Source organism: Homo sapiens, chromosome 5, assembly GCF_000001405.40.
Source record: "Homo sapiens chromosome 5, GRCh38.p14 Primary Assembly".
In the NCBI taxonomy this organism is placed as follows: Eukaryota; Metazoa; Chordata; class Mammalia; order Primates; family Hominidae; genus Homo; species Homo sapiens.
Genome location: NC_000005.10, coordinates 84,391,631 through 84,405,395, shown reverse-complemented (window position 1 = coordinate 84,405,395; position 13,765 = coordinate 84,391,631). Strand labels below are relative to the sequence as shown.

Below are 13,765 nucleotides of genomic sequence, written 5' to 3'. Positions count from 1 at the left end.
TAAGGGGTTATTCTGGTGGTTTTTGAAAACCCTGATGATGGAACCTCATTATGATTTATTGGACTGTTGAAAATGCCTTTTGCTTTCAGCATTGTACTTTTAAGGTCTCTCTGAGGTTGTGTTCCATTTCCTTGATTCTAATGGGATATACAACCCTGAGGTGGTGGTTGGAGCCTGAGAGATACTACCTAAGCTATATAATAAACTTTTACTGATCAAAATGAGATCTTAAAATAGTTTAATCTCAAGAAATAGTATAAATAAGTCTCCCCAGATATTAATAATGATTAATCGCCTCTATAAGTAGAATATTACTATTAATTTATGTGTAGTTTTAAATAACGACAGTGAAACATACATTGTAGATAAACCGTCTTGAAGCAAATAGAAATTAAGCTAATTTAAATGATTAGGAAACCTGGCCGGGCATGGTGGCTTACACCTGTAAATCCCAGCACTTTGGAAGGCCGAGGTGGGCAGATCACTTGAGGTCAGGAGTTCAAGACCAGCCTGGCCAACATGGTGAAACCTTATCTCTACCAAAAATGCAAAAATTAGCCAGGCATGGTAGTGAGTGCCTGTAGTCCCAGCTACTTGGGAGGCTGAGGCAACAGAATCACTTGAACTGGGGAGGCAGAGGTTGTGGTGAGCCATGATTGCACCACCACACTCCAGCCTGGGTGACAGAGCGAGATTCTGTCTCAGAAAAAAGAAAAAAGAAAAAAGAAAAAAGATTCTGAAGCCTAATAAAAGAAATGCCCACATACATTATCTTCTAGAGTGAAAAGATGAAATGCACACTCTGGAAATTTAGACAAAACATGGTTGAAAGAATGTCTATGTTATCTCCCTTCCCATTGTAATAAAAAGTCAGATTGTCTTAAATAAAATAAAAGAGGCGACTAAATACAGTAAATGGAGAATTAAGAATCAGTTTCTTGTATCCTAGACAAAATTTAAGGGCCATCTAAAAAAGAATGCTGAAGGCAATTAGCTTATTAGTATTCTTAAGCTGACAGGTTGATCAGTTTTAGTTCTGTGCAAGATTGTCTGGTAAGACTGGAAATTGGCCAATCTGCTTTAAACCTGGTATATATGAGGTTCTCTTCATACATGTAATCTCCAAAACATAAAGGTTTCACAATATTTTTATGGAGATATTATTTAAATATTTAAAACATGAGGAAAGTGAGGCTCAGAGAGCTTAACTAATGTGTCCAAAGTTACATAGTTAATAAACTGTGAGAAAAGTAGTTTACTTGACTCAAAGGCTGTATCTATTATTTGACAGCACAAGCCAAATCATTGTTTCTCCAGACCCACAGGGAGGAAAATCCAAGGAGTACTGAGCTCATCTGTGGTTGCTTTAGCAGTGTAGCTTAACAACAAAACCAAAGACTGTGAGTCAGGCAATCTGGTCTTGAATTTTCCCTCAATGAGCTGCAGAACTTCAGGTGAGTCATTTTGCATCATGGTTTCCAGCTTGTCATATTTATAAAATGTAAGATTAAAACTAGATGATCTTTAGGACATTCCAGATTTGACATTCTGTGATTCCCTCATGCACCTCTTTATGTTTTCCTTTTAAATCAAAAGTTATTTGGATTTAGATAGTTGTATTCATTTTGTATGTCAGTTATTATAAATATTTGGAAACATGGTAGATTTTATTCCACAAGATACTGGCAATATCTTCCAATAAACCTTTCAAAGTCTTATTTTGCTTTCTTCAAGTGCTATATTTCAAAATGAGTGATGTGTGTTCAAGGGTCTTTTGAGACTAGCACTGTAATTCTCTTCTCACTCGGAACTGCAAGGTTCTTTGGCTCATGTATATTCCGGACGCACTATAGCTATGCTCCATTTTATACTTTTTATGTAATTCAGTGGCTTGGTAATTGGGAAAAAAGCTGGCATTTAGTTAAAACTAACTATAATGTAAAATCTGAAAAAAAACAAGGGGAGAGTTGTACACATACAATGTATATGTAAATATATGTGTATTCACATACATACACAAGCCTACACACACAGGTCACTTTTTTTTTCTTTTTCTAACTGATGTGTCATATTTTGCATATATTTTAAAGAAATAAACCTAAATTACTCAAACTATGCTAACACCCATTTATTTTTTACGTCACTGAAATTGTCTTTTACTTTGAAATGGAAAATCAAGAAATTTTCATTTCCCTCTATTATTAATTTTAAAATTACAATTTTTTATTTCGCAAAATAGAAAATGTAACTAAGCAAAAACAAAAATTGCCTCTAGCCCCACAATATAGACATAATCAATTTTAAAATATCTTAGTAAACAACCTTCCAAACTTTCTCTAAGAATTCATACATGTAAATATGATCATATTACATATACTATTTTTTAACTTTTTTTTGTGCAATAGTTTATTTTATAAAAACTCATTATAATATTTGCTTGTAATCCCAGCACTTTGGGAGGCCAAGATGGTCAGATCTCCTGAGGACAGGAATTCAAGACCAGCATGGCCAACATGGTGAGACCCCATCTCTACTGAAAAAATACAAAAATTACCCAGGCATGGTGGTGCATGCCTGTAATTCCAGTTACTCTGGAGACTGAGGCAGGAGAATCGCTTGAACCTCGGAGGCAGAGGTTGCAGTGAGCCGAGATCATGCCGCTGCACTTGAGCCCAAGTGACAGAGCAAGACTCTGTCTCAAAACAAACAGACAAGCAAACAAAAAACTAATTATAATATTCAATGCTTCCAAAGTATTTCAGTATGCGGGTTATTCAATTAATTCTTTATTTTTCATCATTTAGTGGTTTTCCCATGTTGATATTAAGCATATGCAATAAACATATATATTCATTTTTGCTTGACCAATTTTTCCCTTATGATGAATTTCAAGATATGACTGTGGGTAATATGTTGAAACAGTTATAAAAGTGTTGATATTTACTGTTAAATTTGCCTACTGATTTCTTTTAACACTTTACCTGTGTGCTTATTCCCCAACACTCCACCTAACATTGAAATTCTCTTTTTTAAACAACATTTAGATATGTTGGCCACCTTGTTAACATTCTATTCATATGTTCATACAAAACATACAAGTATGTGAACTATAAGTGTTAAAGATGAAGCCCCACAATCCCCTAACTGATAGTTATGTTGCTTCATAACATCATGCCTCCTGCTTGTAGATCATCTACAAACCATTTTGTTTTTTAAATTTTCCTTTCAGAAGTGGCAAACCCCACTTTCAGTGTGCTTGTTTTGGTGGAGCTGGTTAAATCCCCTATTTCAGCGGTATATATTTGACTCAGGCTTTAGCCATTTAGTGCATTCTGTTTTCCCATCAACAGAGGTTGGCTCAGAGATAGTCATGCTCCTCGATTTGAAGCATTGAATTGGGCTTTTTTCAACTTGACTTTAAAAAGATATCATCTATATATACTAAAACCCAGAATGATAGGAGGCTGAAACTTCCATAGCCTTCTTTGCACCACAATGGGGCATGCTTGTCTGGCCAGAGCCAAAACAGGGGCAGAGAGAACCAAGAGATGGAGAAAAGTCACTGCTTGTACCAATCTTTGGTCCTCTGAATCCAGCCATCGCTGAATCATGAAAGATCTCCATGTTCAATCACATAAACAATAATTTCCCATTTAGTTTTTGGAAACAACAATTTCCCAATTGAGTTTTTGGCTACCTGCAATTAAAGAGACCAATGCTAAATAATATATTTTAAATCAATTATTGGCATTTCAATAGCTTAGGCTTCACCAAATAGTTTCAGTAACAGATTTATTTCTGAGTCTTTCAGAATTTGTTTTTTTCTTCTTATTTTTCTATATACAGTCTATACCTACAACCATATTATAGACACACATATTATGTTATTCACTGCCCTATCACCTCTCTTATCTATGGGCACTAAAACATTTATATTTTATTCCAGGTAAAAACCTGTAAACAAGTAACAAAATGAAAACAAAATCTTCAATGTTAATTGTTGAAACACTTCTTATTAAATTATCTTAATTCTCTTTAAATATTATAGTCCTTCCACTCCCACACAGACTATGAGCTTTTAAAGGGCAGGTTGTAATTCCTATAATTCTTTGCCTTTTCCTTAGAGTCTTGCCTTTAACAAAACAGGAACTCAATAAAAGATGTGCTGATGGATTGGAAACAAGAAGTAAATGACAAAGGAGCAACAAAAGAGGACCTTTTCGTAGTATAGCTGATGGCTGTAAGAGCCCACAAATCCATATTAAAGATAAGATAAATTGAACAGCAAAACTCTGCAGGCTACCTTGGATACAATATCCCAAAGATTAGTAAAATGATGTTTCTAAACAACCACACATAACATAAACCATACAACAGAGAGAGATAATCAGCACTATACTAGCCCAATTCTATTTGAGATGTTATTTTTTTCTCTATTAATTTCAAAAGTGTATTGCTTTTCTTTATCTTTGAAAACAAACAAAATTCTTTTTCTAGAAGCCTTAATGTATACTTTACATTAAAATAAAGAAATGAGTAATTCACACAAATAATTAGTGTAATATGGTATTTTCCATTTAAAAAAGAGTTCCATTTATACACTCGACACATACTTTAGGTCTTGTGGAGATGAAGCCTTTATTACAAGCACAGAGGGATTTTCACAATATAGCAGGCGAGCCTCAGATTATCATCTGCTTCATCACGATTTAGCTCAAAAAAGTAGAAAACCTGTGGACTTATCAAGACATACAGAAATGCTGTATGAGTGATGCTGGAGTCAAATAACTGGTATAAAAATGAGCCTTGAATTACAGGAGGTTTATAAGAATAAAAATGGGTTTCTATTATATGGAATCTTTATATTGTTTTGTGACATACATGCTGATCATCATATCCTTTATTGCCTTTTAAGTAAAATTGTTATATAATTTTATAGCATAAAAAAGATACACGTATAAAATTTTAAATGAAAAAAATTTAAAATTCAATCTTAAAATACTCATTGTAATATTCCTTAGAAATAATCTTTCCTAACATTTTGATTACAACTTTCTGTGAAATTATGTAAAAAACAAATATTACAATAAAAAATGGGCATGGAATGTAAATAGATAATTCAGGTTGGACACAATGGCTCATGCCTGTAATCCCAGCACTTTGGGAGGCCAGGGTGGGCAGAGAGCTTGAGCCCAGGAGTTCATGACGAGCCTGGGCAACATGGTGAAATCTCTTCTCTATTAAAAAAAAACACAAAAATTAGCCAGGTATGGTGGTGCATGCCAGTACTCCCAGCTACTCGGGAAGCTGAGGTGGGAAAATCACTTGAGCCTAGGAGGTTGAGGCTGCAGTGAGCCATGATGGCACCACTGCTCTCCAGCCTGGGAGGAGTGAAACTGTCTCAAAAAAAAAAAAAAAAATTCATTTAAGATGAAAGTTATTGTCAAAAAGCAAAAGAAAAAAAAGAAGGTGTAACCTCACTAGCAGTCAAGATAACACAGTTACAATAATGAGGTTTTTTTGACTATCAGGTTTGCATAATTCAAAAAACTTTGCTAATATTTAGTATTGGGGAAAACATGTACTGTGGTACACTACTTGTAAAAATTTAACTTGGTCCTAACTTTACAGAAAATCTAAGAATATCTAGTAGAATTTTATACGTGTCTGCTTTTTGCCCAGTAACCTCTCAACTAGGAAACATTACAGAAAAAGTTGCTGGAGTTTATACAGGTATACTTACTAGTCTGTTTGTTACAGCATTGTCTATGACAGGAAGATCATCAACAACAACAAAAAACTGCAGATGACCTAAAAAGCAATAAATAAGGGATTAGATGCTTATGTTTGTAGTTGTTATACGAAGGAATGTTGCATACTCATCTCAAATTACACCAAAAAATGTAATGAACCACGAATGTATCTATGATACATTGCTTAGTGTATAATGAGAAAGAGAGATGAGGATCAAGGTAGGAAGGGAGGGATAAACAAAAGTGGTAAGATATACATATTCATGTGCTATGCTCGGAGGCATTCAGGAACATTACCAAAAGTTATACTCTAATCTGCAAACAGTCATTAAAAACCAGTGGTAGATTATAGGTGATTTTATATGATATTTTAAAAAGCTAAGTTAAACATCAGCATTTGCCTAATATCTTAAAAATTATTTAAAACCATCATGTTATGAAGATTATAAAATAATTTCTATTGAATTGGTTATGATTATTTATCCTTTTTAATGTTGGACATTAGCCTATTTCCAATATTTGATGTAATAAATAACATGAGAAATAATTTATGTGATATAATCAATATTCTAGAATAATCACCCACGTAACTAAAATTTTAATCATACATGAAACTATTTCAAGCAGTCTCCTTAGTATAAATTCTTAGAAATTGGTTCACTAGGTCAAAGCTTATATTATTTTTATCCTTCTTGATATATATTGTCAAATTGTTTCTTAGAAAGGTGGAGGCAATCAATAGTCTCACTGGTGGTGTATGAGAGTCAGATATCACTGGGAAATATTCTTTCTGCTTTGAAGTTTACCTTTTAATTCATGATTTTCTGACATACAGAAGTTTTGTGTTCATTTTATGTAGACAGAGAAATTAGTCACTAACTTATCTTATTATTTTCATTTTTAAAATGTTCTTATCCAAATTAGCTTAAAATATTGACATAAGTTTTTCTATTTTGTGCTATTTGATAGTAAGGATAATAGGCTTGTTGATCAATTTTTAATTTATTTTAGTCAATTATTGAAATGAAAGTTCTTTTTATGTAAAAAATACAATTACTATAAGTATATATACTTTATTTAATTTGTAGATGTATTGAATTATACCTGCACATTAAAAATTGAGAAATTATAAGTTAAATTTTGGGTTTCAAAAAACAAATCTGACCACGCTGCTTCCATAATCCTACAAGACAACAATTTGTCTACCTAACCGGGTAGCTTGCTGTTCCCTTTAAAGTGGGCGTGCATTTTCCAGTTTGCCGCCATCCATTATTATAGTCTACTAGGTCCACTTCTCTGCTGTATGTGGCTTGCCTGAGCACAGTAGGCATTTAGTGAGCATTTTTGTTTTAAATAATAGATAACACAGACGTTCACAGAGAAGGCTTAAAAGGATTGATCTGGGGTCTGGTTTCCTTATGATACTCTGTTGTCCCAGTTGTGTAAAGCTAAATAGATTCCCATATTTTTTTTAGTTTAAGTGGATGTGCAGTCCTGGGAGACCAGGATTTTTGGTATACGTATGGAGAATAAGGTTGTATGCAGGTGAATTTACTGAAGACTAGGAAATTACTGAAATGCTTGGGCTGCACAATAACACCACTGAAGAAAAATATTATCTTAGCATTTCGCAGACCTTGAATTTAGTGGCTTAAAACAAACAACTTTGTACAATTCCTGAGACATAGTATATGGTAAATGTACATTTTTGTAATGCATGAAAGAGTAGGTGAATGATTGAATGTCTCATGATAAGGTTTCATTACTAGTGAGTTGGAGATTAACTGAGAGTAAGGATCAAACTGCCTGAGAAAACTTAAATAGAGCTGAATATACAAAGAGGAAAACAGTATAAGATGACAGGAGCTGGCGGTGCTTATCATGGGTTTAACTTCACAGGTAAGACAAAATTCACTGTCAAACTGACCAAAGAGAATCACTGATCAGGAGATTTAGTTGATAAAAATGTTATCAGGTGATGTTCCCAGTAGAAACATAGGATATAATATTTAGACACTTATGTCATTCTAATACTGTGAGGTAGCTCAAGTCAAAGTGAAAACAGCTCCCTACTCATCATCTTGTCTATCTTTTCTTAAATGAAAGAAGCAAACTTTACTTGACACATTGACAATAAAGTTCAATAAAACAAATTGTACTAGACAGCCATCACTCCTGCTTGCAGAAATTCTTGAGATTTATTTCATAGAATGTTTAATAATAACAACACAGAATAATAAATAAAATCTTACATTTTCAGAAAGCAAGTAAAAATCAGACAATACTCACAACCTCACAACATCCCTTTTTGTTTTTGAGATGGAGTCTCGGTTTGTGCCCCAGGCTGGAGTGCAGTGGTGCAATCTTAGCTCACTGCAAGCTCCACCTTCCAGGCTCACGCCATTTTCCTGCCTCAGCCTCCCGAGTAGCTGGGACTACAGGCACCCTCCACCACGCCCAGGTAATTTTTTGTATTTTTAGTTGAGACGGGGTTTCACTGTGTTAGCCAGGGTGGTCTCGATCTCCTGACCTCGTGATCTGCCCGCCTTGGCCTCCCAAAGACAATTTCCCATTTTTTAAAGTTCTCTGCTGGTTGTAGAAGTGCCAGGGAGACTGAGGTCTCTACTTGTAATACTTTATCCAGGTGTTTGGCTTCCTGGTGGCTGCTGTGTTCCACTTCCAGCCTTTTCTAGGACCATGCCATCCATTCTTCCCAGCTTTCCAACCTCTTCCATTCCAAGTGTGTACTCTGAGCTCCAGTTAGCACTTATCCATCTAGATATCCTTAGCCTAAGTGAGAAACACTTCTCGCTCTCTTTCCTGGGAAGACATTGCTGCATTTTATGCCATCTACCTTTCTTTTCTACTTTGCCTATTTTTAAAGAGACAAAAATCAATCAGGCAACTAACCTTTTTGTTAGACCTTTTTAATCACAAAATTGTTTAAATGGTTCAGTATTCTTTTTTAGAAATATATACAAAAAGATACAATATAGTATATATTTCTTTGCAGCTCAGTACTTAGGAGAGTCCTGCTGGAGGCAGACACAAGCCTGCACATGATATGTTTCCATATGTTGCTCACATTTGCACACTTCTGAACTGTAGCCTGGAAACAACACCACAGAAGTCCACACCACTGAGAGTTACTTAGATTTGTTTCAGAAGTGCAACTAATAAAGTATACTTTATTAGAATTATAAATAAAATACTTTATTAGTTGCAACATTATGCAACTAATTGTAAAAGTAGTTGTTGTCACATTATACAACTAACAAAACAAAGTAAAATATAGATAAGGGAAAAGCAAAGGAGCCCACATTATTTGCATATATAATTATTTGCAAGAAAAAAAAGCAAGGACTCAGAAAATTTGGTAGAACTAAAGAACTTTGAATGGGGGTGATGCTATGATTTCAATGTTTGTCCACTCCAAAACTCATTTTGAAACTTAATCCCCAACGTGTCAGTATTGAAAGGTGGAGCCTTTAAGAGGTGATTGGGTCCTGATGGCTCTGCCCTCATGAATGGATTAATCCACTCATGGATTAATGGGTTATCATGAGAATAGGACTGGTGACTTTATAAGAAGGGTGAGAGAGACCTGAGCTAACACACAGCCCCCTCATCATGTGATACTCTAGGCAGCTTCGGAACTCTGTTGAAATTCCCCACCAGCAAGAAGGCTCTCACCATGCATGGCCCCTTAACTTTGGAGTACTTAGCCTCTATAACCGTAAAAAAGAAATTCTTTTTACTCATAAATTTCAGGTATTCTGTTCTGAGCAACAGAAAACAGAGTAAGACAAGTGACAAATTCTTTAATACAACAAAGAGTCACTTAGAAACATAATGGCAAAAAATGATATAATTCATAACAGAAACAAAAGAACATAATATTTTGAACAAACATAATGAAAAGCATTTAAGACAGAGAGACAGAGTAAGAAAGAGACATCTGCAAAATTTCATTAAAGGACATTCAAGAAGCTAATAGGCAGAGACGCATATTTAAGAACAAATAAAATAGTTCTATAAAGATAGAAGCTATTTTCAAATTGACCTGCATAATTGAAGCAAACCCAAGTTTCAATGGGATATATTTTAATGAAAAAAAAAGGCATCTAAGTTTATCAAGTACAATATATACTAGAAATTCATAAAAGTCAAACTATGAGGTCTTGGTACCAGAAAACACAAAAGAGAAAATGGAACTGTATGCAAGGGATCATGTTTGTATGAAAAGTAATATTTGAAAAAGGTGACATTTTAAGTCAGTAGATTTATTAAATATTTGGCCAGGGAAAATTAATTTGATATGTCTTGAAGAAAGAAAAAATATAAGAAAAATAACTAATAATAAAAAATTCAAAATAAAATAGAAATTACATTAGAATATTTGTAGCTTACAAAACATTTTATGGAGTGGTTATTTTTACATACATATATACAAAGGAATTATGATGGCTTCTGATTTTATTTTTACCCCATGCTATAGGCTAAATGGAAGGCTTAGCCACTGTCAGAAAATTACCTTAAATTTATGAACTCATTTACCAAGAACTGAACGGGCTTAGAAATTAGAAAGCAACAATACTCTAGTCTTTACCCTAAGCTGTCTGCGAGTTGGTGCTTATTGCTCCTGTGGGAAGAAATCCTTAGCCAAAAGTCTCAGTGACTGCCAGGAACAGTGATTTAGGGTCTATGCCATCCATTTCCTCCATAAGACTGTGTTTTAGGACAAAGGTGCCATTTGAGACCCAAAAAAGGATATCTGTTTCAAAGCATTAAAAGGATTTTACAGAACTAATTAGAAGCAAAGGGCTGTCTGTCTTCCTTATTAAAAATGCAAGTTATTCAGAGAATTCATAAGAGTATTCTTCTACATTTGAAAAAACTGAAATTAAGTATTAAAGAGCTAAAAGAAATATAATAATTAAAACTAAGTTCAGTAGAATGTAAAACAGATAAAACAATAAAACATTTTGCTGTGGCTAAAAAATATAAAAGGTAAAAGGCCTAGAAGCTCCTTTTAATTAAAGTAAACTGGCTAAAAGTTGTGGATCAATAGTCTCTGCATTTAGTTATCAAAACCATGGCTTTTCTTTTTCTTTTTATTTTTTATTTCACAATGGAGACTCACTTTGTCACCCAGTCTGGAGGGCTATGGTGCGATCTCAGCTCACTGCAACCTCCACCTTCCAGGTTCAAGCAATTCTCCTGCCTCAGCCTCCTGAGTAGCTGAGATTACAGGTGTCTGCCACGGTGCCTGGCTAATTTTTTGTAGTTTTAGTAGAGACAGGGTTTCACTGTGTTAGGATGGTGTCGATCTCATGACCTCGTGATCTGCCGGCCTCGGCCTCCCAAAGTGCTGTGATAACAGGTGTGAGCCACTGCGCCCAGCCAACCAGGGCTTTTCTAAGGGGAAAACTTCCTGTATTTTCAATCATTGCTTAAGATCCCTAGGCAGCGTCTTAGACAGAACTGAGTCACCACCTCAGGGCATAGCCAGAGTGACACATTATTTAGTAGAGGAAAGGAAAATGTTAAAATAATACAAGGATATTTTCAGCTGATGCTGAGTCAGATAGTTACAGGAAAAACTGCAAAAGTTTCCACCACTTACCCTAAATGCTATTATATCTCCTACTTATAAATAGAAAGACTAGAGGCCAGGTGTGGTAGCTCAGGCCTACAATCCCAGCACTTTTGGGAGGCTGAGGCAGGTGGAATGCTTGAGGCCGAGTTTGAGACCCCATCTCTACAAAAAAAAAAAAAAAAGGACTAGAAAATAGTTCATATATTAAATTCAATGTGGGATTTATTTTTAAAAGTAGACGAATGCAATTAAAAATTTTTTTAGCAGGGTCATCTATCTTCCATTTTGACGCCTTTTTAATTTATTCATCTCCACTATGAATGTTAAAGGGATTGGCCAGATTTATCAATTAAATATCATGCTTTTAAATTGACTTGTAGTATGTAGTTTCAATTTTATGTCTGATTATGTTTTGGAAAACATTCAAGAATGCATGCCTCATAATAAAAGATTAAATAATAATTCAGTTAAAGAATTTTTTTCAATTTTATTTGTTGATGACTGAGTGAAGGCTCTCAATTCAATTGGCTTTTACTATACAGTTTACAACTTGTCACATCAAAATGTACAGTTTTAAATATCTCAGGTCACAAATTGCTTTTCAAATCAAGTTGCATCCATATAAATGTTCTTGAGAAAAAAATGATTATGTGAATCAAACTAAAATCTCTGAATTTTAAAAATTAAGACAGGCAATTGTGCAATTTTGCATCATTGTCTGTTTTACATATGCTTTATAATTTTGTTTTTGAAACTAGAAGTTTACTAGAATTAAAGTCCCAGGATCATTAAGTAAATCAAGAAAGGAAAGATGTCCTTGTGTTTTCAAAAGGTTATACCTGGTTTGAATTCTTACTTTTGTATGAATCATCTCAAAAGCAAAAGATTAAGTTGTTATAATTTTCTTTTTTAATAATATCATCATCATGTATAAATGTAGGTTTTTGAGACGGACCAAAACAAAAATAAGAATTCAAACCAGGTGATTCTTTCTATACAATGTTTTGAAAACATAATGACATCATGCCTTTCTTAATTTATTTAATGTTTCTGGGACCTTAGCTTCGTATTGAAATCATGATATTTTCTTAATTTTTCCAATTTTAATATTAGCATTATGGTTTTTGAAGAAATGTATATATTTAAAATCTCTAATAAATTATTTTATATTATATTAATATAGTGATAAATTTAAGACAAATTACAATTGTGCTATGAGACATGCATGGGTATTTTATCTTATTTTAAGGAAATATATTAATTACTGTATATTTTAGGGAGAATGTACTACTAGACCCATTTTATCTACAGACAGAAAGAACAGAATCTGTATCAATATAAAACACATAAAATTAAATGATATTCTCCAATGGCTGAGAAACAAGCTATATTTTAAATTGCGGTTGCCCAAAATAACATATATTAAAATATATTCCATTTCCGTTTTATTTTTTAAATAAAACAGTGATTGTGAAAACAAATAATTTTTTATTGACAGATTTTTCTCTTTAAGTTGTAGCCCATGTTGGAACAAAGAAAACCCAAGAGGATCTTCTCTATTCATAACCCTTGACATTTATTTATAGATGGTGTACACATTATTTCTTTAGATTTCCTTTAGTTTCATATTTGGTCCAATTACTATGCTTGATGTATCAGGTATCTTTTATATCTTAAATAAATAAATCTCTGACTCAATTTTCAGCAATGTGATAAACGGAGGAAAAGAGAAGAATATGGCAATGAAAACTAGATAAAAGGGGAAATAGTCTAAGACGGTCCTTTGGCCTATTATAATACGTTTTTCCCTAGATAACCACATAACTCCTGCTATGGTGGGTGTGGAAGATTTTATCATCCCTTTCTTTTAAATCAAAAGACAATGAGTTCCAATTTTCTGTCAAATGCAACGTCAAAGCTTAAGACATCCAATTCTACCAATTCTTGATAAGCCTCTTTTTATTTACTGTAGAGAAAAGATAATTTCCCTCCTTTATCCTATCCTGCATATTCATGGACACTTATTTCCTTCCTACACTGATGTTAATGTCTTACTCTTTTTTTTTTTTTCTGAGCAAATGCTGGTATAGAGAAAATGGCTGTAGTGCATGCACTGGAAATGGGAGACAAGAGTCCTTGTGCTGTGCCTTGGAGGTCATTAGAGTGGTCCCATTAGAGTGAAAAATAGTCCAAGTGTGTCCATTTATTTAAAATCTATTACATAATACCAGTTATAACAATTTGATGGAAAAAATAAGCATGAAAATTCGAAGAGGAGGTAAGGAGGTAAAACTAAAGTTCTTTTCAGATGTGATGATTTTATGTCTAGAAAACCCAAAATAATAAACGAAAAAGCTAATAATGTAAATTATAAAAGACAATTTACAATTTATAAAGTAACTGGGTTTAACAT

The 13,765-nt window shown here is 33.7% G+C and overlaps 1 long non-coding RNA gene across 3 annotated transcripts in view; it reads right to left on the bottom strand.

Moving 5' to 3' along the window:
• The window catches only part of EDIL3-DT (EDIL3 divergent transcript), a 35,237-nt gene that overhangs the window by 12,263 nt on the left and 9,209 nt on the right, over positions 1 to 13,765 (bottom strand). For all 3 annotated transcript variants that reach the window (NR_183295.1, NR_183296.1, NR_183297.1), the window contains exon 3: positions 5,744 to 5,811. This is a non-coding gene — a long non-coding RNA (EDIL3 divergent transcript). The remainder of the gene's footprint in view (positions 1 to 5,743; positions 5,812 to 13,765) is intronic.